Source organism: Homo sapiens, chromosome 20, assembly GCF_000001405.40.
Source record: "Homo sapiens chromosome 20, GRCh38.p14 Primary Assembly".
NCBI lineage: Eukaryota > Metazoa > Chordata > Mammalia > Primates > Hominidae > Homo > Homo sapiens.
The window spans coordinates 37,075,309-37,099,481 of record NC_000020.11 but is presented as its reverse complement, the minus strand read 5'-3'; the positions used below and the strand labels follow the sequence as shown (position 1 = coordinate 37,099,481).

Genomic DNA, 24,173 nt, shown 5'->3' with positions numbered 1-24,173 from the left:
AGAGAGTAGCAAATGAAGGCAGAGTTAGACAGGGGACCACCAGACCCTTAGTGCCTTGTAGGCCAGGACAAGGAGCTTGGCTTAACCCTGAAAGAAATGGGGAGTCACTAGAACATTTTCAAACTTTTGGATTTTTGACAATTGAATAGATTAAAATATGGTTTTATACCGGTTTAAACTTGTATATATATTTTTCCTATTAGAAAGGTTGGGGCCGGGCACAGTGGTTCACGCCTGTAATCCCAGCACTTTGGGAGGCCGAGGCGGGTGGGATCACGAGGTCAAGAGATTGAGACCATTGTGCCAACATGGTGAAACCCCGTCTCTACTAAAAAGTACAAAAATTACCCTGGCGTTGTGGCACACGCCTATAGTCCCAGCTACTCGGGAGGCTGAGGCAGGAGAATTGCTTGATCCCAGGAGGCAGAGGTTGCAGTGAGCCGAGATCTCTCCATTGCACTCTAGCCTGGGCAACAAGAGTGAGACTCCGTCTCAATAAATAAATAAATAAATAAATAGAAAGAAAGAAAGTTGGGCATCTTTTCACATCTAAAAGCCATTTACATTTGCTTTTCTAAGATTGTATGCAAATCCTTTCCCCCTTCTGTGGGTAGAGAGGCTTTATTAATCTTTGTAATGCACTACTTCCACAGTGCAGAACCAGCTTAAAGATCACCACTTTAGTTTTTCCTCCAAGGAAAAAGAACATTAAGAATGGTGAGGTCCAGCTGGGCATGGTGGCTCACGCCTATAATCCCAGCATTTTGGGAGGCTGAGGCGGGTGCATCACCTGAGGTCAGGAGTTCAAGACCAGCCTGGCCATCATGGCGAAACCCCGTCTCTACTAAAAATGCAAAAAAAAAAGTTAGCCGGGCATGGTGGCGTGTGCCTGTAGTCCCAGGTACTTGGGGGGCTGAGGAAGGAGAATTGCTTGAACCTAGGAGGGAGAGGTTGCAGTGAGCTGAGATCTTGCCACTGCACTCCAGCCTGGGTGACAGAGTGAGACTCTGTCTCAAAAAAAAAAAAAAAGAATGGTGAGGTCAGGTCTTGCCCCTCCCCCACAAATATCAACTGCTTTTTTTTTTTTTTTTTTTTTTTTTAATAGAAGGTTAGACAAGCAGTTTGTCCTGAGAGGGGCAAGTGCAGACTGATTTTCTGCTTAGGGCATAGCAAAGCTGGAGGACAAAAAAAGAAAAAAAAATTTAAGAATTTCAAAATGAGACATCTTGGGAAAATTAGTTAGAACTTTCTTGTACTTTCTTACACTTATTTTGTGATTTAGAATTGCATATATTTTGAATTACATTTGGAAGGGTACACACTATAATCTTTTTAGTCTTGGAATCCCTAAAGGTCATAATCAGGTTCCAACCACATGCTTTGGGAGAACTCTGAAATATTAAACCACAACAGGGAGGCTAATCATAGAGGCTATCACACAATGGGATCAAAATAGAAACAACCTTCATGTGTATCTGGCTCAAAACTGAAGGGCAGAGTAAATCTATTTCACTACCCATACTTCATTTTCTTTTTTCTTTTTTTTTTTTTTTTTTTTGAGACGGAGTCTCGCTCTGTCACCAGGCTGGAGTGCAGTGGCACGATCTTGGCTTACTGCAACCTCCGCCTCCCAGGTTCCAGCGATTCTTCTACCTCAGCCTGCCAAGTAGCTGGGATTACAAGCGCCCGCCACCATGCCCAGCTAATTTTTGTATTTTTAGTAGAGACGGGGTTTCACCATGTTGGCCAGGATGATCTCGATCTCCTGATCTGGTGACCCGCCTGCCTCAGCCTCCCAAAGTGCTGGGATTACAGGTGTGAGCCACTGCAACCGGCCTTCCATACTTCATTTTCTATTCAGAAAAGCTCAATTTTGGGTTAAATGGGCATGTCCTGGGATAATAAGAAAAAATAAAACCAATATAAGGAAGGGCATATTGATTTTTGGTTTTTTTAAATGCATGCAGGTGAGGCTGGGTTTGACAGATGTGTCCTCAGTTGTTTGTTTTTGAGACAGAGTCTCACTCTGTTACCCAGACTGGAGTGCAGTGGTGCAATCTTGGCTTACTACAGCCTCTGCCTCCTCGGTTCAAGCGATTCTTTATTCTCATGTCTCAGTTGCCCAGGTTGTTAGGATTACACAAGTGCACCCACACGCCCAGCTAATTTTTATATTTTTAGTAGTGACGGGGTTTTGCCTTGTTGGCCTGACTGGTCTCAAACTCCTGGACTCAAGTGATCCACCTGCCTCGGCCTCCCAAAGTACTGGGATTACAGGCAAAGCAAATAATGGAACAACAAAAGAACGAAGACAGGGATTTATTGAAAACAAAAGTACACTCCATAGTGGGGAAGCGAACCCACGCAGCAGCTCAAGGGCCCAGACACAGAATCTTCTGGGGTCCAAATACCCTCTAGAAGTTTCCCATTGGCCACTTTATGCTCTCTTGATGTAACTGAAGTGGTAGCCCACAATCAGTCTGAGTGGTTGCAGAAAGCAACCAATCAGAGGCCAGGGTGAAGTTAACAAAATTATACTTCTATGCAAAGGAAGACTCTCCCGCCATCAGTCTGATTGGTTGTGGACAGCAACCGTTCAGAGGCTGGAGTGAAGTTACAAAGTTGCAAACAAAGACTGGAAGGCGCTCAGTGTGATTTGTTGCAGACAGCCAATTTCCCATCTGCCATGCAGAAAAGGTCCAAGGGAACAGCCTCTGGTTCTTTTGTTACTTAGGCGTGGAAAGTTGGGGTTTTCCTTTCAATTTAGTTCTAAGAAGTCACGTGAAACAGCCATAGGTTCCCTGCCTCCAGACCCTATTCTCCTGCCTCATTTACTGCAGTCTTCTCTGCCTGCCTCTTTTAGCGACTAGCATGAGATGAGGATTCGTCTTCTAATATCCGTCACCAATCCTTCCCCTCTGTCATTTAGCGAACCACTCACTGGGCACTAGGACTTTGGGGAGAGTCCCAAGAGGCCCCTCTTCGTCCAGGGGCTACTTTTTTCTCTTCCAGCCTCCATCTCCTAACTCAAGGGGTACAGCTCAGATTATGTTTGGCGCCCAGGGACAGTGACAAACCCAGGGCCCGTGGATAGAGGAGGCATCTCACTACGCTGCACGAGGCCACCTCGCAGTAGGCAGCCCAGCCCTGCCCCAAAACCCAAGAGCCTAACCAGGAAGACAGGGGGAGGCCGCGGGCTTCATCTCCCAAGAGATGGACTACACCTCCCAGCAGGCTCTGCGCGCGGGCTGAGGATCCCTCCGCTCTTTTTCTGTCCCGCCGGCTGGGCCCCCCGCGACCAGCCAAGGGCCAAGGACAGGTCTTTCAGAATCTGAGGTACATCTTCTTATCACATTTCCGGGGAGGGACTGCTAGGAGCTCCGGAGGAAAAACGGACTTTTTTTGAGGAGAAAAGCGGAGGCAGACGGTGGATGACAACACGTCCCGCAGCTGCAGATTTTCGCGCGCTTTGGCGCAGGTGGTTGTGGGTAGCGCGCCTGGGAGGGAGAAAGAAGTCGGGGGCCGTGGCGCGCAGCCCGCGGGGCCTGAAGGGATGTTCGAGGACAAGCCCCACGCTGAGGGGGCGGCGGTGGTCGCCGCAGCCGGGGAGGCGCTACAGGCCCTGTGCCAGGAGCTGAACCTGGACGAGGGGAGCGCGGCCGAAGCCCTGGACGACTTTACTGCCATCCGAGGCAACTACAGCCTAGAGGTGAGCGGCAGCAGGTGGGGCGGCCGGACCCTACCCTCGCCAGGCCCCACCCCTGCCCCGCCCCTTCCTCGGCCTATGGGGTGGTGGGAGTTTCCCCACCTAGGAGGGTCGCTGCGCAGCCAAGCGCCGAGGGGCGGGAAAGGTGGGTGTAGCTCAGCCAATCCACCCATCATTTTGAGGCGGGAAACTGAAGCTCAGGAAAGGAGCGGCCTAGGTCCCGCGCCGCTCAGACCCCAGGCTTCCTGACCACACTTCCCTCTACCCCGCCAAGCGCCACAAAAGTCATGGTGCTGCCCTTAAATCAGTAAGAACAAATATAATGGTAAAGTGAAAATGAACTGCATGCCAAGACATCACTGCCCAGAGCTTTAAATGGACCCTCAGTTCCGTCTGAACCCCTTCTGTGATCCCCATTTCACGCAAGAGGAAGCGGAGCCCTAGACGGGTTAAGCTACAGGCCCAAGGTCACACGGTTAGAGATGGAGCCAGACCCAGGGTCTGAGCCGTTTAACCTCCACCCTCTGCTTCACCAGGGTGGAGCTGCCGGTCGCTGTGCAGCAGTTTGATCAAAGCCAATGTGCACACGAAGCTGATCTCAGCCCTACGTTTCCTCCTCCGTCAGAGCATCGTCCTGATGCTTTGCATCAGTGTCTGGCTCTGAATAAAACAAATGTCAGTTATAATTACTTGATTTTTTTCCCCATCATTCTTGCATTTTATCCTCGCAACAGCCCTGTGAACATGGCATGGCAATGAGTATTAGACTGCTTTCCAGGTGATAATGGCAAGGCTCAGAAGGTTGTCTTGCCTAGGATTATTCTAATATAGAAACCCAGGCTGGGCGTGGCGGCTCACGCCTATAATCCCAGCACTTTGGGAGGCCAAGGCGGGCGGATCACTTGAGGCCAGGAGTTCGAGACTAACCTGGGCAACACGGCGAAACCCCATCTCTACTAAAAAAATACAAAAACTAGCTGGGTGTGGTGGCGCCTGCCTGTAATCTAGCTACTCGGGAGGCTGAGGCAGGAGAATTGCTTAAACCCAGGAGGCATAGGCCGCAGTGAGTGGAGATCACACCACTGCACTCCAGCCTGGGTGACAGCAAGACTCTATCTAAAAACAGAGAAAGAAACCCAGACGAGCATAAGCCCAGTGTAGACAGAATTGTGATGGAGTGTATTTCATGTAGCACCACTGGCCTCATGTTCAAAGGCTTTCATGTGCCAAGGGCGCTGGACCCACTCCCAGGGTGCACCACTGACTCACCACCCAGTGAAATAATTGCTGGGTTCAAAGGCATAGAGTTGGAAAAGTGTCGATTGTATGTGTGCCTATATATGAAGGAGTAGTACCTGAAAAAAGTGTCTTCAGAACTGGATAGACTGGGTAAAGGACAATGGTCCACATCCGTGGGTGGCATGACTGGAGAGCTGTGGGAAGAATAAGAAAGTAAGGGAGATTAGAATGAATGGCGTCTCAATTGAAAACAGATTGATTTTTGAAAGCCTGAGAAAGCATTTCTGACATCCTAGGTCTGATTTGGTCTCTCTTGCCCAAGGTCACACCATCTGTCATTGAATAAGCATTTACTGTGTCAAACTATGGTCAAGGCATGCACCTGTTTCAGATTCTTGAATATGACAAGTTTGTTCCCAGTTTTGTGGTATATCCATGCCATTCCCTCTGCCTGGAATATTTCCCCTCACCCCCAACACCAGGAAAAGTTGAGAGCTAAATCTCTAGTTAGGCAGAGTTGAATAGGACATCTTCAATGTTTGCTCTACTTATTTATTTTTTCTTTCTTTTTTTCTTCCTTAGAAACAGGGTCTTGGCCGGGCGCACGGTGGCTCACACCTGTAATCCCACCACTTTGGGAGGCTGAGGTGGGCAGATCACCTTAGGTCAGGGGTCCAAGACCAGCCTGGCCAGCATGGTGAAACCCCGTCTCTACTAAAAATATAAAATTAGCTGAGCATGGTGACGTGCACTTGTAATCCCAGCTACTCAGGAGGCTGAGGCAGGAGAATCTCTTGAAACCAGGAGGTAGAGGTTGCAGTGAGCCAAGATCACGCCATTGCACTCCACCCTGCACAAGAGTGTAACTCCATCTCAAAAAAAAAAAAAAAATGGAAAGAAACAGGGTCTTGCTCTTTTGACCAGGCCTGGAATGCAGTGGTGCAATTATAGCTCACTGTAAACTCAAACTTCTGTGCTCAAGTGATGTTCCTGCTTCAGCCTCCCCAGTAGCTGGGACTATAGGCATGCACCACGGTGCTCAGCTAATTTTTCAATTTTTTGTGGAGATAGTATCTGACTATGTTGCCCAAGCTGGTCTTGAACTGGCCTCAAGTGATTTTTCTGCCGCAGCCTCCCAGAGCATTGGGATTACAAGCATGAGCCACCGAGCCCAGCCCAATGCTTGCTTTAGAAAGCACAAATGTATGAACTGAAATTTTGTGTTTATTCTATCCAGTGTTTATTTTCCTCTTTTTTTAAAATCAATTTTTTAAAGGTATTTGGAGTAGTCATTTTCATATATCTCATGCTTCCTAAGAAGTCTTTCTCCAATCCCTACCCCTCTCTAGTCTACCTGACAAACTCCTGCTTACATTTTTATTGATTTACAAATTTTGTCTCCTTTTGTGAGGCCTTCCCTAAACTGTAGTCAAAATCAGTTATTCACTGCACTATATTCTCCTACAACACTTTATCTTCAGTTCTTCTTATAGCTTGTATATCTCACCAATTATAAATGATAGTATCTGTTCCTCTTCTTAGCTCCAGATGTGAAGTTCTGTGAGATCAGAAAACATTTTTTGTATTTCTAAGGCCTGGCAAGTAGGCCTTAGAAATGCAAAAAATGGTTTCTGATATCATAGAATTCATAGAATTTTTATGAAATAGGATTTTATCAAATAGAATTGTATTCTATTTTATTCTCATGGAATAAAATAGTTGACTTTTTTAAGGAAAGAAAGTCAGGCCAGGCACAGTGGCTCACACCTATAATCCCAGCACTTTGGGAGGCTGAGGCAGGAGGATCACTTGAGCCCAGAAGTTCAAGACCAGCCTGGGCAACATAGTGAGACCCTATCTCTACACAAAATAAAATAGGCTGGGCATGGTGGCTCACACCTGTTATCCCGACATTTTGGGAGGCTGAGGCAGGTGGATCACTTGAGCCCAGGAGTTTGAGACCAGCTTGGGCAATATGGTGAAACCCCATCTCTACAAAAATTAGCTGGGTGTGGTGGCATGTGCCTTTAGTCCCAGCTACTCCAGAGGCTAAGGTGGGGGGATTGCTTGAGCCTGGGAGGTCGAGGCTGCAGTGGCCCTCATTCCTGGGAAGTCAAGACTGCAGTGGCCCTGATTGTACCACTGCACTCCAGCCTGGGGCAACAGAGTGAGACCCTGTTTTAAAAAGTAAAATAAAAATCAGTGTATTCTTTAATGTCTTTAAAAAAATCGAAACAATAATTTTAGGACTTATATTTTCACCATCTTGCTAGAATTTTCATTTAGTAGCCTGTATCCAAAGGCTCTATAATACTTGGATGCTAATCCCAAACAACTCTTTCTCTTTTTCTTTTTTGAGACAAAAAAAGGGCCTCAGGCACTTCTCCCATCTCAGCCTCCAGAGTAGCTGGGACTACAGGCGCATACCACCACGTCCTGCTAATTTTTTTGTATTTTGTAGAGATAGGGTTTTGCTGTGTTACCCAAGCTAGTCTCGAACCCCTGAACTCAAGCAGTCCACCCACATCAGCTTCCCAAAGTGCTGGAATTACATGCGTAAGCCACCATGACCAGACCCTATTCCCAAGCAATTCATTAATCAAAGCTTGTAAAAATATTCATCTTTAAGCTTACCTGCCTCATTTAGTGCTTTGAGAAAAGACTTCTCATTCCTTCAGGGTAGGAACATTGGGTTTATTGATGGCCACCCATTTCTACCCACCCCTTTTAGATTATTGCAAGAAATCTTTTTATCAATCTTTTTATCCTTCTAGGGTTTGGTCTTAAAGACAGTCTGTGGAACAGTGTATAAGAACACTATTGTGTTGTGCTATCAGATTTACATCTGTAATTCTTTTTTTTTTTTTTTTTGAGATAGAGTCTCGTTCTTTCACCCTTGCTGGAGTCCAGTGGGTCAGTCACAGCTCACTGCAGCCTTAACCTTCTGGACTCAAATGATCCTCCCATCTCAGTTCCCCAGGTAGCTCTAACTACAGACGTGCCACATACCCGGCTAATTTTTTCCTTTTTTGTACAGACGGGGGTCTCACTATGTTTCCTAGGCTGATCTTGAACTCCTGAGCTCAAGCAATCCTCTGCCTCAGCCTCCCAAAGTGCTGGGGTTACGAGCATGAGCCACTGTGCCTGGCCTTTATCTGTAATTCTTGTTTTTTTTTTTGAGATGGAGTCTCACTCCCGTTGCGCAGGCTGGAGTGCAGTGGCGTGATCTCGGCTCACTGCAACCCCCACCTCCTAGGTTCAAGTGATTCTCCTTCCTCAGCCTCCCAAGTAGCTGGGATTACAGGCGTGCGCCACCACACCTGGCTAATTTTTGTATTTTTTAGTAGAGACGGGGTTTCGCCACATTGGCCAGGCTGCTCTCAAACTCCTGACCTCAGGTGATCCACCCATCTCGGCCTCCCAAAGTGCTAGGATTACAGACGTGAGCCACCGCACCGGCCTATCCGTAATTCTTAATCCTTAAACTTCAGCTATTGTATTTCAGCAGTGAAGTCATGAAGTGATTCTAGCTTGGAGATGTCTGAAGTCTAATGCAGAAAATTGTTGAATTCCCAAATGTCACCTTTTTGTGGCATTGTAAATTGAGATATCTACTAATATAAAGAGCCGTGCTTACTACAGTCGTGTGCTGCAGAATGTTTCAGTCAGTGATGGACCACACATACTTTATTTTTACTATATGTTTTCTGTGTTTAGATACACAAATAATTACTATTGTGTTACATTTACCAACAGTATTTAGTATAGTAACATGCTCCACAGGTTTGTAGCCTAGAAACAATAAGCATACCATATAGCCTAGGTTTAGTAGGCTATGCTATGTTTGCACAACAAAATTGCCTAATGTTGCATTTCTCAGAATATATCCCTGTCATTAAGCAATGCATATGACTGTATTTTAAAGATGACATGTTTTGGGGTAAATCCCCAAATGTTTACCTTACAAAAATGACAGTCTCCTTCATGTTGCGTAAGATTAATATTAATTTTTTATGTGTGACTCCCTTGCCAACTTTTTACTCTGTTCTTGCCTTTCCCTGCCACACTAAAGAGAAACATAAAGCAAAAACGATAGAAACTTCAGGATCATCAAGGCCATTTCTTAAAATCAAGAAAGTCATGCTGACAAATTTTAATAAAACTCTTCTGGTAATTCAGACATGCTTCACTTAATGACAGGGACATGGTCTAAGAAATGCAACATTAGGTGATTTTGTTGTGTGAACTTCACAGAGTATACTTATGCAAACCTAGATAGTGTAGTCTACTATACACCTAGGCTGTTTAATATAGCCTGTTGCTCCTGGGCTGCAAACTTGTTCAGCATGTTTCTGTACTGAACACTATAGGCAACTATAATGGTGAGTATGTGTGTATCTAAACATAAAAGGGGTACAGTAAATTATAATTTTTTAAATATATAGAACAGTTAGAACATACAGTATTACAATCTTTTTTGTGTGTGTGACAGAGTGTCCCTGTGTTGCCCAGGCTAGACTGTAGTGGCACGATCTCTACTCACTGCAACCTCTGCCTCCCGAGTTTAAGCTATTCTCCTGCCTCAGCCTCCCAAGTAGGTGGGACTACAGGTGCATGCCACCACACCCAGCTAATTTTTTGCATTTTTAGTAGAGACGGAGTTTTGCCATGTTGGCCAGGCTGGTCTTGAACCCCTGGCCTCAAGTGATTCACCCGCTCCAGCCTCCCAGGCATGAGCCACCGCGCCTGGCAAGTATTATAATCTTAAGTGACCACCATTGTATATGTGGTCCAGTGTTGACCAAGATGTTATGTGGCATATGCCTGTATTAGATTTGGAGTGTAGGTGAAAGAGTTTTTTTCTTTTTTTTTTTTTTAAGAGACAGGATTTAAGAGACAGGATCTCGCTCAGCTGCCTATGTTGGAATGTAGTGGCACAAACATAGCTCACTGCAGTCTTGAACTCCTGAGCTTAAGCGATACTCTTGCCTCAGCCACCCAAGTAGCTGGGACTGCAGGCAAGCACCACCATGCCTGGCTAATTTTTTTATTTTCATTTTTAGAGTCTACGTTGCCCTGGCTAGTCTTAAACTCCTGGCATCAAGTGATACTCGCACCTCAGCCTCCCGAGTTACTGGGATTACAAACATGAGCCACCAAGCCAGGCTTTTATCTTTAGATTAATATTAATTTAGCATGTTATAGTTGTAAAAACACAGAACTAAGAGTAAGGAGTTTTATACCCATTACTGCAACTAACAGCTTTGTGACCTTGGGCAAATATCTTCACTTCTCTGGCCCTTTATCTACATAAGGAAAATTGAGACCAGATAATTCTACATCTCTTGTTTCTAGAATTAAAGCATTTTAACATAATATTATACCTGTTTTGCTGTTTGTCTTTTGCTTGCCAGGGAGAAGTTACACACTGGTTGGCATGTTCATTATATGTTGCATGCCGCAAAAGCATTATTCCCACGGTTGGAAAGGGTATCATGGAAGGCAACTGTGTTTCACTTACCAGAATACTACGTTCAGCTAAATTAAGGTAAACCTCTTTGATGTTTTTAAATGTTATATAAGCTCTAAATTTTGGAATCAGTTTTCTCTTGTTTTGAGATCATTTGACTTCATTTAATTTTTATTTTATTTATTTATTTATTTATTTATTTTTGAGACGCAGTCTCACTGTGCCAGCCAGGCTGGAGTGCAGTGGCACAGTCTTGGCTTACTGCAATCTCTGCCTCCTGGGTTCAAGTGATTCTCATGCCTCAGCCTCCTGAGTATCTGGGATTACAGACACACACCACCAAGCCCGGCTAATTTTTTGTATTTTTTTTTTTTAGTAGAGATGGGGTTTCATCATGTTGGTCAGGCTGTTCTCGAACTCCTGACCTCAAATGATCTACCCACCTCAACCTCCCAAAGTGCTATGGGATTATAGACGTGAGCCACTGTGTGACTTCATTTAATTCTAAGTTATAACATAGATAATCCTTTCCCAATTTTCATATTCTTTCTCTGCCTTTCTCAAATTCTGCTAGAAACCTCTGTGTTGAATCTTTAGCTATACTTTTTAAAATTAATTTTTTAAAATTTGGAAATAATTTTAGGCTTACAGAGAAGTTACAAAAATAAGAAAAGGACAATACCCATATACCCTTGACTCAGAGTCACCTGTTATTGACATTTTATCCCATTTGCTTTCTCATTTGATTTTTCTTTCTTCAATATATAGATCTTTCTCTCTCTCTCTTTTTTTTTTTTTTTTGAGATGGAGTTTTGCTCTTGTTGCCCAGGCTAGAGTGCAGTGGTGCAATCTCAGCTCACCACAACCTCTGCCTCCTGGGTTCAAGCGATTCTCCTGCCTCAGCCTCCCGAGTAGCTGGGATTACAGGCATGTGCCACCACGCCTGGCTAATTTTGTATTTTTAGTAGAGACGGAGTTACTCCATGTTTGGTCAGGCTGGTCTCGAACTCCCGACCTCAGGTGATCCACCCGCCTCAGCCTCCCTAAATGCTGGGATTACAGGCGTGAGCCAGCACTCCCAGCCAGATCTTTCTCTTTTTATCCTCAACCATTTCAGTCTAAGTAGCATACATTTGTAGCCTTTTACCCCAAAATACTTCACTGTGTATTTCTTTAAATAACTACAGTACAGCTACCAACTTCAGCAAAATTAACACTGATAAAATAATTTTATTTAACCTGCTAACTCTGTTCTAGTTTTGTTAGTTGATTCAATAATGTTCTTTATGGCATTTTTTTTCCTGGAAGTACAATTTCTAATTAAGGATCAGGTATTGCATTTGCTTATCATGTCTATTTATTCTTCTGTAATTAGGAACATTTCCACAGCCTTTCTTTTTCTTTTATGACATTACCATTTTTGAAGAATATAATCCACAATCACTTTGTCCCTTTCTTTAATTAAAAAAAATTTTTTTAGAGGCCGAGTCTTGCTGTATTGCCCAGGCCTCGAGTGCAGTGGCACCTTTTTAGCTCACTGCAGCCTCAAACTCCTCAGCTCAAATGATCCTCCTGCTTCAGCCTCCCAAGTAGCTGAGACTACAATCATGTGCCACCATGCCTGACTGATATTTTTAAATCTTTTTATAGAGACAGGGTCTTACTATGTTGCTCAAGCTTGTCTCAAAGTCCTGACCTTAAGTGGTCCTCTTGCCTCAGCCTTTTTTTTTTTTGGGACAGAGTCTCACTCTGTTGCCCAGGTGGAGTGCAGTGGTGCAATCTGGACTCGTTGCAACCTCCGCCTCCCGGGTTCAAGCGATTCTCCTGCCTCAGCCTCCTGAGTAGCTGGGACTACAGGCATGTGCCACCACGCCCAGCTAATTTTTGTATTTTTCGTAGAGATGTGGATTCACCATATTAGCCAGGCTGGTCTCAAACTCCTGACCTTGTGATCCGCCTGCCTCAGCCTCCCAAAGTGCTGGGATTACAGGCGTGAGCCACTGTGCCCACCCTCATCCCCTCTTTTAATAGATGGTTCCCAATTTTGGATTTGTCTCCTATTAACTTTTGATTAGATGCAGGTTAGTCATTCCCTGATGGAAAACTGTATAAGTGATTTTGTCTCCTGAGGATATCACATCTGATGATGGCATGTGTTATCCATCTGCATCTCATTGGTGATGTTAATTTTTGTCATCTGGTCAAGATGTTGTCCTATTTCTCTACTGTATATTAATTTTTTTCACCTTGCAGCTACTCTATGGGTCTCAGATACATCTTTTACTTACTCTAGTATCAAGCATATAGAATTATTTGGCTGGATAGGAAACAAAACAAATTTAGCTATCCAGTTTGGATTCATGCTAATATTCTTTGTTTCTGGGACAAAACTATTTGTGGTCATTGTCTATTTGCTATTCCTGTGTTTCCAGAATAGAAGAGGAGCAAAGTTTAAAGCCCTATTCAGAAATGGCAAATAGGTTTTAGTTGATGCTAAATTTAAATTTTTTTTTATTTTTATTTTTTGAGACGGAGTTTTGCTCTTGTTGCCCCGGCTGGAGTGCAATGGCCTGATCTCAGCCTCCCCAGTAGCTGGGATTACAGGCGCCCGCCACCACGCCTGGCTAATTTTTTATATTTTTAATAGGGAGAGGGTTTCACCATGTTGGCCAGGATGGTTTCAAACTCCTGACCTCAGGTGATCCACCCGCCTCGGCCTCCCTAAGTGCTGGGACTATAGACGTAAGCCACCGTGTCCAGCCTAAAAAAAATGTTTTTAAACAACTTTGGTTCTAAAAATAAAATAAGATGATAAAAATTAAATGAAGATCAATGGGGTTAATTTTTTAATTGAGCAAGACATTATCATTGTTAGTATAAAACAATCTGATCTTTTTCTGTCAATGTTTGTCATTGTTCATATAATTTCAAAAATCTTTGTAATGACAGATTCTGGGGGAACTAAACAAAAAAGAATTATAACAAAACAAATGTAGAGCAGTACATGGCAGGAGAATCACTTGAACCTTGGAGGTGGAGGTTGCAGTGAGCTGAGATAGCGCCACTGCACTCCAGCCTGGGCGACAGAGCAAGACTCCATTTCAAATTAAAAAAACAAGGCTGGGCGCGGTGGCTCACGCCTGTAGTCCCAGCACTTTGGGAGACCAAGCCGGGTGGATCACAAGGTCAGGAGATCGAGACCATCCTGGCTAACACAGTGAAACCTCATCTCTACTAAAAATACAAAAACAAAATTAGCCAGGTGGGCGCCTGTAGTCCCAGCTACTCGAGAGGCTGAGGTGGGAGTATGGCGTGAACCCAGGAGGCGGCGCTTATAGCGAGCCGAGATTGCGCCATTGCACTCCAGCCTAGGTGACACAGTGAGACTCCGTCTCAAAAAAAAAAAAAAAAAAAAAAAATCAAATTTCAAATAATGAAACAAACTCTGGAGATGGACAGTGGTGATGGTTGCACAGTGTGAATGTACTTAATGCTACTGAACTATAGACTTAACAGTGGTTACAACGGTAAAGGTTATGTATGTTTTACCACGCACACACACGTACACACAAATGTATTTTCAAAAATTTTAAATAATACAGAAGGCTTATAAGTAGAAAGCAGTATCCTTGGCCACGCACAGTGGCTCACACCTGTAATCCCAGCACTTTGGGAGGCTGAGGCGGGTGGATCACCTGAGGTCAGGAGTTCAAGACCAGCCTGGCCAACATGATGAAACACCGTCTTTACTAAAAAATACAAAAAAATTAGCTGGGCGTGGTTGCGGGTGCCTGTAATCCTAGCTACTGGGGAGGCTGAGGCAGGAAAATTGCTTGAACCCAGGGAGGCGAAGGTTGCAGCTAGCAGAGATCGTGCCATTGTATTCCAGTGTGGGTGACAAGAGTGAAACTCCATCTCAAAAAAAAAAAAAAAAGAAAAGAAAAGAAAAACGTCTCCTTTTGGCACTCTCCGTAATTAACCATTATTAATAATTTCTTCTGGCCAGGCGCAGTAGCTCATGCCTGGACTCCCCAGCACTTTGGAAGGCTTAGACGGGCGGATCACCTGGGGTCAGGAGTTCAAGATCAGCCTGGCTAACATGGTGAAACCTCATTTCTATAAAAATACAAAAAATTAGTCGGGCATGGTGGGGCACACCTGTAATCCCAGCTACTCGGGAGGCTAAGGCAAGAGAATTTCTTGAACCCAGGAGGTGGAGGTTGCAGTGAGCCGAGATTGTGCTATTGCACTCTAGCTTGGGCAACAAGAGCAAAACTCTGTCTCAAAAAAAAAGGTCTTCCTATGTACAAATATATAAACTTGTTTTTTGGTATTTTTTCTTTTTATTTTCTTTTCTCTTTATTTGTTTGAGACAGAGTCTTGCTCTGTCACTCAGGATGGAGTGTAGTGGTGTGATCACAGCTCACTACAGCCTAGACATCACAGGCTCAAGCGATCCCTCACTTCAGCCTCCCGAGTAGCTGGGACCACAGGTATACACCACCATGCTTGGCAAATTTTATATTTTTTGTAGAGACGGGTCTCACCATGTTGCCCAGGCTGGTGTTTTTTCTTTTTAAAACATAAATTATACTATATGTGTTGCTCTACAGTTATTTTTCTTTATATTTTGGAAATTCTTCCATATCAGCATATGTAGTTCTACCTCATTAATTTTTTTAATGATACTAGGATATTTTAGGGTATAAGGATCTTTCATCTATTTAGCCATGCCTTATGGCCATTTCGATTGTATCCAGTCCTTTGTAGTTGCGGACAAATAAACATCATTGTAAAGATGATATTTCTGATAAATTCCAAAAATATGTATGATTCCTAAAAATGGGTCAAAAGATGTATCTTTTTTGGTCAGGCCCAGTGGCACACACCTGTAATCCCAGCACTTTGGGAGGCCAAGGCGGGCAGATCTCTTGAACCCAAGAGTTCAAGACCAGCCTGGGCAACAGGGTGATACCCTGTTTCTACAAAGATTAGCCAGGCATGGTGGTGCATGCCTGTAATCCCAGCTACTCGGGAGGCTGAGGTGGGAGAATCACTTGAACCCAGGAGGTGGAGGCTGCAGTGAGTTATGATGATGCAACTCTACTCCAGCCAGGCTGGTAAAGCAAGACCCACTCTCAAAAAAAAAAAAAAATCCATTAAAAATAATTACAAACTTATGAAAAAAAAGAAAACTAAGTCTTTTTAAAATGTAGATTGATATTCTCAAAGTCCCTTTCCCCCAAAATGTTTATTTTTTTTTGAGCTAGAATCTTGCTCTGTTGCCCAGGCTGGAGTGCAATGCACGGTCTCTGCTCACTGCAGCCTCCTCCTCCTGGGTTCAAGTGATTCTCCTGCCTCAGCCTCCCCAGTAGCTGGGGCTACAGGTGCATGCCACCACACCCACCTGTATTTTTTTTTTTTTTTTTTTTTTTTGTATTTTTAGTAGAGACGGGGTTTCGCTATTTTGGCCAGGCTGATCTTGAACTCCTAACCTTGTGATCCATCCACCTCGGCCTCCCAAAGTGCTAGGATTACAGGTGTGAGCCACCGCGCCCAGCCTGTTTTTATCTTTTTTATTTTTTGTTTGTGTTTTTTGAGACAGGGTCTCACCTTGTCACCCAGGCTGGAGTGCATTGTCGCGATCTCTGCTCACTTGCAACCTCCGCCTTCTGGGCTCAAGTGATCCTCCCACCACGCCCTCCTGAGTAGCTGGGACTACAGGTGCATTTCATCACGCTCAGGTAATTTTTGTATTTTTAGTTGAGACAGGATTTCACCATGTTGGCCAGGCTGGTCTCAAACTCTTGGCCTCAAGTGATCCACCCGCCTCAGCCTCCCAAAGTGCTAAGATTACAGGCATGAGCCACCGCGCCCAGCCTTCCGCAAAACGTTTTTAAGTGTCAAATTTTTAATGCTAAAAGAGCAGTTACCCAGCATCAATGTGTTCATTCAGAGAAATAAACAAAAATTTCAAATGATTTTGTTTGCTTTGACTTATAATAATTTGGGCTGTTTTCAAAATTTCAACTTAAATATAATTTTTTTAACTTTTATTATTATTTGAGTCAGGGTCTTACTCTGTTGCCCAGGCTAGAGTACAGTAACATGATCTCAGCTCACTGCAACCTCTGCCTCCCAGATTCAAGCAATCCTCCCACCTCATCCTCCCAAGTAGCTGGGACTACGGGTGTGTGCCACTATGCCCAGATAATTTTTGTAGCTCTTTTTTTTTAGAGATGGGGTTTCACCATGTTCCCCAAGCTGGTCTTGAAGTCCTGAGCTCAAGTGATCCACCCATCTTCGCCTCCCAAAGTGCAGGGATTACAGGGGTGAGCCACCACACCTGGTCCCATCTCTAGATTATTTATACCTAATACAATGTAAATACTATGTCAGTAGTTGTTACACTGTATACTTTAGGGAATAATCACAAGAAATGAAGTTGGTACATGTTCAATACGGACACAACCATCCTTTTTTTCCAATTATTTTTGATGTGTGGTTGGTTGAATCCATGGATGTGGAACTCACAGATATGGAGGGTAAACTCTAGAGAGAGAGAGAGTGTGTGTGTGTGTGTGTTTGTATGTGTATGGTGTTGGTGGTGGAGTAAAATATATATAACATAAAATTCATAAAGTTGACAATTTTTAAGTTCAGCATACCTTCACCTTCACATTGTTCAACCAACACCACCACCATTTCCCGAACTTTCTTATCTTCCCAAACTATACACATTAAATGGTAACTCAGCTGTTTAGCTGTTAGTCCAGCCCAGCTCTGCCTCAGTGAACTATGCTGTGCTCTGCTCCACTGAGGTGCAGGGCTGACTGTATCATCACCAGCAGGGGGGATGGCTGGCCCCAACCTGAGGAGGAGAAAAAGAAGGAGGTACGCAGGTCCCTGGGGTTTCTGGTTGTATTCTTGTCCCTAGGCCCCTGCGTTGTCCCTTAGTGAGGGAGAAACCTTATGATCCTGGCCCAGCCTTGCAGGCTCCCCCGGCATAGAGACACATGCTCTGTGCTGTCTTCTAGGGGCTGCTGCTGCCCTATGTCTCCTGGCCAGTTGACATTTTGGCAACCATGAAGTGACCTGAAGCGAGCCTCCATTTACTGATATTATAATTGGAGCCTTGGTACCATTCACCCAATCTCGCTGAGCCAGCAGGGGTCTCTGGTGAGTCTCCTCTCAGATTTCAAATCTTCCTAATTTTGGTTTGAGATTCATACTTTGTTCAAGCAACCAATTCCACACTTGATGGAGCTGGAATTAAAGTTCTGCTTCTAAGGACACAATCATAGACACTGGTTATTTTACCTAGGCTTTGATTGGAATGGCAAATTTTCAGATATGACCAGACTGCTTTAAAACATTGAGGTTGTTTTTGTTTTGTTTTTGTTTTTTAGAGACAGGCTTTTACTCTGTTGCTCAGGCTGGAGTGCAATGGCATGATCATAGCTCACTGCAGCCTCAAACTTGGGGGGGTCAAGCTGTCCTCTTGCCTCAGTGACCTAAGTAGCTGGGGCTATAGGTGCATTCCACCATGCCTGGCTAAGTTTTTGTTTTGTTTTGTTTTTTGTCTTTTCTTAGAGACTGGGTCTGGCTTTGTTGCCCAGGTTGGTCTTGAACTTCTGGCTTGAGGAGATCCTCCTGCCTTTGCCTCCCAAAGCACTAAAGCACTGGGATTACAGGTGTGAGCCACCGCACCAGCCAAGGTTTACTTTATAGAGCTGATAAAAAAGATTTGGGAAGATTGACTCGCCATTGCAGAACAATCATGTATTTGGGTCATGTTTAAGTCAATATCTCACACCATTAGGAAGGTTCATTCCTAAGAAGTTGAGTCTCATGGAGGGGGGAATATTACAAAGGACCAAAGCTGAATTTTAAACAAGAGAGAAGTGGTCCTGGAAACTGTTTCAGACTACATGACTGTCCCTTTGATCAAAGCAATTCCTTGAGCAATCATTATTGTTCAAAGGTTCCCTAACAAGGTCCCTGACCTTGCAGTAAGTAAAAGATGTCACTTTCTGACAAGCCCAGGAACCTCAAGATATTTTTGGGGACTTCAGGAAGAGAGGATTTCACCCAATGCATACAGGTATTATGGGAACAGTCTGATGATGGATCCTTGGCTTGACTTCTTAGCCTCAAGGCTTTTAAAAGTCTAATCCAAAATTCCTTATGAATGTTCCAACAAAACCAACTTAAAAGAGCCTAGGTGGCCACTCACTATTCTTATTGCCCCCTATGCAAAGAATCAGGCCAAATATATTACTAAACCTTATTTTGAAAGTAGATTGCGAGCCAGGCGTGGTGGCTCACACCTATAATCCCAGCACTTTGGGAGGCCTAGGCGGGTGGATCTATTGAGGTCAGGAGTTCGAGACCAGCCTGGCCAACATGGTGAAGCCCTGTCTCTACTAAAATTATAAAAATTTGCTGGGCGCAATGGTGGGTGTCTGTAATCCCAGCTACTTGGGAGGCTTAGAAACGAGAATCACCTGAACCCAGGAGGTGGAGGTTGTAGTGAGCCGAGATCGCACCACTGCACTCCAGCCTGGGCCACAAAGTGAGATTCCATCTCAAAAAAAAAAAAAAGAGAGAGAGAGTAAATTGCGGCGGGACCAGGCACAGGCAGCATTTTGGGAGGCCAAGATGGGCAGATCACTTGAGGCCAGGAGTTAGAGACCAGCCTGGCCAACACAGTAAAGCCCCATCTTTACCAAAAATACAAAAAACAGCCGAACATGGTGGTGCTTGCCTGTAATCCCAGCTACTTGGGAGGCCAAGGCAGGAAAATTGCTTGAACCCAGTGGACAGAGGTGGCAGTGAGCCAAGATTGCCACTGCACTCCAGCCTAGGCAACAGAGCGAGACTCTTGTCTCAAAAAATAAAATCAAATAAATAAATAAAATAAATATTTTTAAAAAGAAAGTAAATTGGTCCCACTAAGATTAATCTTTGGTAAAAATGGGGAATTGAAGAGGAAAAAAAAAAGTACATTCTATCAAAATTATAGCATACCTATTATTAAATTCCAGCCTTGACTATTTTTTTAAATTTATTATTTGCATAGAATTTGGACTAAGTCCTGAATTCTTTCCTGTCTGCAAGTCTTGAAATTGATGTTTCTAAATTTTTCTCCCACTTTTCTGACTTGAAATCACTAAAATTAAAACTGCTTTTTCCTGAAGCCTGGCAAACTGAAACTGGACAATTTTACGTAAACTTCAGAAAAGTCACCATAGTAGCTTACATATAGAAACCTTTGTGGGCTGGGCGTGGTGGCTCATGCCTGTAATCTCAACGCTTTGGGAAGCCGAGGTGGGAGGATCGCTTGGGAGGGAGCCCAGGAGTTCAGGACCAGCCTGGGCAACATAGTAAGAGACTACTTTTTAGTCTCTACAAAAAAATTTTACAAAGAATGTTAGTGAAGTGTGGTGATATGCACCTGTAGTCCCAGCTATCTTGGGAGGCTGAGGTAGAGGATCACTTGAGCCCAGGAGTTCCAGACTATAGTGAGCTATGATCATGCCACTGCACTCCAGCCTAGGTGACAGAGCAAGACCCTTCTCAAAAAAAAAAAAAAAAAAAATGCTTTAAGCCCAGCATCTAAAAATCTCAACTGGCTGCCCCCTGTTCTCAAAAACTAAGTATCTATATCCCAGATAAATCAGATAACATCACTAAGTTAATGGCCGATATAAAGACCCAAATAAAAGATTGGCTAAACAGCTGGTTTAGATCTTGGGAAACTTGATAACAAAAAAAGTTTCTTTTTCTAAAAATTATAATCATTTGTTATTTTTTGTCTACACTGCTGTTATGGCATTTGAGGGTTTTTTTTTTTTTTTTTTGGCTGAGACAGGGTCTTACTCTGTGGCATCAGCTGGAGTGCAGTGGTGCCACCTCAGCTCACTGCAGTCTCTACCTCCTGGGCTCAGTCCTCCCACCTCACCCTCCCAAGTAGCTGGGACTTAACAGGTACACACCATCATGCCAGGCTAATTTTTGTAGTTTTTGTTTTATAGAGATGGGGTTTGCCATGTTACCAAGGCTGGTCTTGAACTCCTGAGCTCCAAGGGTCTGCCTGCCTCGGCCTCCTAAAGTGCTAGGAACCCATGACAGTTACATCTTCAGTGTGAAATGTTAAATATACCTTCCCCCTGCCCGCCCCCCAAAAAAAGACCATCTTGACTAATCAGATCATTGTAACTATACATTAAGCCTTACATAGGAAAATATTAGTGTTAAACTTCAAATAAAACCAAAATGAAAACTGCCCATTTCACCCTTACCCCCAGCCTCAGCAACCACCATTCTACTTTTTCTTCCTCTATGAATTTGATTACTCTGAGCATCTCTTAGAAGTGTCATCCTACAATATTTGTTCTTTTGTGACATGCTTATTTCACTTATCGTAATGTCCTCAAGGAAATGGCTGATTCCAATGCTTAGCAGACGTGTTTTCTCTGATGCATCTGGAACAGCTTCTTATGCCAGAAAGTAAGGAGTGCTCAACAAAATGGTGGAGGTGTGTCAAGGAACTTAGAAGCTAGGTTGAAAAGACTCCCATTGGTAGACTCCCGTTATTAGAAAGGAATGCTGCTTACATTAGAATGCCAGCTAATAAATGTAGAAAAAGTGGTAGAATTAGAAAATAGTCACCATTTTGCAACCTCATAGTAATAATTGATACAGTCAAAGATCATCAATGGATATTAAAACTAGTGAATAAAAGTTTGATGAAGAACAGAATATTCACGTAATTGCAAAGTGTCTCCTATGAATCACTAATTACAAAGGAAAAAATAGAAACTTTGAAATGGAAAACATGGCACATACCACCTAAATCAAGTACAAAGTTATCAGTAATGGGACTAATGGATATGATCCTCTGACAAGGATATGACATCACTTAGGTAATACTCTTGTCAAAAATACATAGCCTAAATCTAATAATGAGGGAAGCATGAGACAAACCCAAATTAGGGACATACTACAAATAACTGACCAATTGTCTTCTAAAATGTTCGTGTTACAAAGAAGTCTGAGGAACTGGTTCCAGGCTGAAAGAAACAGAAAGGAAATGACACCTAAATGCAATACATGCTACTGGATTAGGATGTTTAAAATTGCTCCGAAAGAACATTTGGACAATTGGTAAATTTTAAATTTAAGTTGAAATATGGACTAATATTTTATCAATGTAAAATTTTCTGATTTTGATAATTGTACTTTGGTTATGTAAGAGAATTTTTTTTTTTTTTTTTCAGAAAATAGAAACTGAAGTATTTTTGGGTAAAGGGCATGAAAGCTAAACGTGACTCTCAAATGGTTCAGAAAAAAATTATATGTATATTGCAATAACTAGGATTATCCAGAGAAAAAGAGCCAACAAGCTATATATAGAGAAAAATTTATTTTAAGGAATTGGCTCACACGATGGAGGCTTGGAGAGTTGAAAGTCTGATGGGGTAGGCCCCATGTTGGAGACTGCACTTTGAGTCTTCATCTTGAGGGAAGAGCTGCAGTTTGAGTCTTGAGGCAGTCTTGTGGTAGAATTTCTTCTTACTCAAGGGAGGTCAGTCTTTTTTCTATTAAGACCTTCAGCTGATTGGATGAGTTCCACCTACATTATGAAGAGTAATCTGCTTTACTAAAAGTCCACCAATCTAAATGTTGATTTCATCTAATAAACACCTTCACAAAAAGATCCAGAATATTTGAGAAAATATCTGGGCATCGTGGCCCAGCCAAGCTGACACATAAAATTTACTACCATATATGCATATGTATATACAGTATACATGTATATATAGATGGCTGGGCAAGGTGGCCCACACCTGTAATCCCAGCACTTTGGGAGGCCAAGGTGGGGCAGATCATCGAGGTCAGGCGTTTGAGACCAGCCTGACCAATGTGGTGAAACCCAGTCTCTCTAAAACTACAAAAAATTAGCCGAGCTTGGTGGCAGGCGCCTGTAGTCCCAGCTATTCGGGAGGCTGAGACAGGAAAATTGCTTGAACCCGGAAGGCGGAGATTGCAGTGAGCCGCGATTGTGCCACTGCACTCCAGCCTGGGCGACAGAGCAAGACTCTGCCTCAAAAAAAAAAAAAAAAAATGATAAAGCAAATATGCAAAATGTTAATATTTGGTAAAGGGTATAAAGGACTTCTTATGCTCTCCTTGCAAGTGTAGGTTTGATGGTATTTCAAAGTGAAAAGTTTAAGAGATAAAAGGAATGGTATACAATGGAATAAACTCCAGCTGTTAAAGTGATAGAAGGGGTTTTACTGATGTAAAAACATGTCCAAGATAAATTAGAGGAAAAAGCAAGGTGCAGAATATTGTAGGTACATTAATCCTTCTTTATCCTTGGTTTCACTTTCCATGGTTTCAGTAGCCCATCAGCCATGGTTTGAAAATATTAAATGGAAAATTCGAGAAATAAACAATTTTAAGTTTTAAATTGTGTATGGTTTTGAGTAGCATAATGAAATCTTGTGCTATCCACTCCATCCTGCTTGGGACGTGAATCATCTCTTTGTTTACTGTATCCATGCTGTGTATGCTACCTGCCTGTTGGCCACTTAGTGGCCCTCTCAGTTATCAGAGATTGACAGATCACAAGAAGGGTGAGTACAGTACAATAAGATATTTTGAGAAAGAGAGAGAGACCACATTCACATAACTTTTATTATAGTAAATTGTTATAATTGTTCTATTTTATTATTGTTAAACTCTTACTGTGCCTAATTTGTAAATGAAACTTTATCATAGGTATATGCGTATAGGAAAATATATACTCTATATATGGTTCTGTACTATTTGCAGTTTCAGGCATCTCTTGAGTCTTGCAATATATTCCCTGAGGATAAATGGGGGGACTACTGTTGTAGTATGACATCATTTGAGTGGAAAAAATTATGTATGCTGGTATATGTTTATAAATTCCCAAAATACCTCTGCAAAGATAAACAAAACCTGGTGACAGTCTATTAGTCCCTAAGGCAACCATGATTGCCTTAGTGGAGAAAAACTGGGAGGCAGGTGATGAGAAAGAGAATTTTCATTATACATGCTTTAGTAACTTTTAGAATTTTGTGCTTGTGCATATTACTTATTAAAAAACAACACCTTCACACAAAGTATCATGATATGCATCTTTGTATTTTTGCCTGTATTTTTTACTTTCTTCTTAGGTTAGAGTCTTTAAAAAGTAATTTCTGGATGAAAGGACTTGAGCATTTTTAAGGCTTTTTATTCATGTTGCCAAATTGCCTCTAGAAAAGTGAACAAATTAGGCCGGTGCAGTGGCTCACACCTGTAATCCCAGCACTTTGGGAGGCCGAGGTGGGTGGATCACCTGAGGTCAGGAGTTTGAGACCACCCTGGCCAACATGGCAAAACCCCATCTCTACCAAAAATACAAAAATTAGTCAGGTGTGGTGGCATGTGCCTATAATCCCAGCTACTCAGGAGGCTGAGGGAGGAGAATCACTTGAACCCAGGAGGTGGAGGTTGCAGTGAGCCAAGATCGCGCCACTGCACTCTAGCCTGGGAGACAGACTGAGACTCCATCTCAACAAAAAAAAAAGTGAACAAATTAATATTTCTAACATATTTACATGTATTTACTGTAACCTCTTTGGAGTAGTGTTGTGGGGAGGTATTTTTTAATAGCCTATTGAGATATTATGACATACCATATAATTCATCCTTTAAACTGTACAGTTCCATGGTTTTTTG

The 24,173-nt window shown here is 43.1% G+C and overlaps 1 protein-coding gene across 7 annotated transcripts in view, besides 5 other annotated features; it reads left to right on the top strand.

Moving 5' to 3' along the window:
• Window positions 3,027-3,076: an enhancer, noted in NCBI's record as "active region_17829". NCBI's record gives its function as "activates an Ori minimal core promoter by ATAC-STARR-seq in GM12878 lymphoblastoid cells {active_cell/tissue: GM12878}" and the evidence as "EXISTENCE:reporter gene assay evidence [ECO:0000049][PMID:35858748]".
• Window positions 3,117-3,793: an enhancer, noted in NCBI's record as "NANOG-H3K27ac-H3K4me1 hESC enhancer chr20:35724092-35724768 (GRCh37/hg19 assembly coordinates)". NCBI's record gives its function as "activates a minimal SCP1, AML or CMV promoter by ChIP-STARR-seq in primed H9 embryonic stem cells {active_cell/tissue: H9 hESC(primed)}" and the evidence as "EXISTENCE:reporter gene assay evidence [ECO:0000049][PMID:30033119]".
• Window positions 3,197-3,466: an enhancer, noted in NCBI's record as "active region_17828". NCBI's record gives its function as "activates an Ori minimal core promoter by ATAC-STARR-seq in GM12878 lymphoblastoid cells {active_cell/tissue: GM12878}" and the evidence as "EXISTENCE:reporter gene assay evidence [ECO:0000049][PMID:35858748]".
• RBL1 (RB transcriptional corepressor like 1) overlaps window positions 3,485-24,173 on the top strand; it is a 99,649-nt gene continuing 78,960 nt past the window's right edge. For 6 of the 7 annotated variants that reach the window (NM_001323281.2, XM_047440348.1, NM_002895.5 and 3 more), the window contains exons 1-2: window positions 3,485-3,709; window positions 10,360-10,493. Coding sequence is in view for 4 of the 7 variants with exons in the window: in XM_047440348.1 (XP_047296304.1) it covers window positions 3,554-3,709; window positions 10,360-10,493 (290 nt within the window). In the remaining 3 variants the exon portion in view is untranslated. Of the gene's footprint in view, window positions 3,710-10,359; window positions 10,494-17,452; window positions 17,595-24,173 lie in introns of those variants that run through there. The other variant, XM_047440349.1, reaches the window with a different exon arrangement.
• Window positions 3,697-3,756: a silencer, noted in NCBI's record as "silent region_12884". NCBI's record gives its function as "represses an Ori minimal core promoter by ATAC-STARR-seq in GM12878 lymphoblastoid cells {active_cell/tissue: GM12878}" and the evidence as "EXISTENCE:reporter gene assay evidence [ECO:0000049][PMID:35858748]".
• Window positions 4,027-4,126: an enhancer, noted in NCBI's record as "active region_17827". NCBI's record gives its function as "activates an Ori minimal core promoter by ATAC-STARR-seq in GM12878 lymphoblastoid cells {active_cell/tissue: GM12878}" and the evidence as "EXISTENCE:reporter gene assay evidence [ECO:0000049][PMID:35858748]".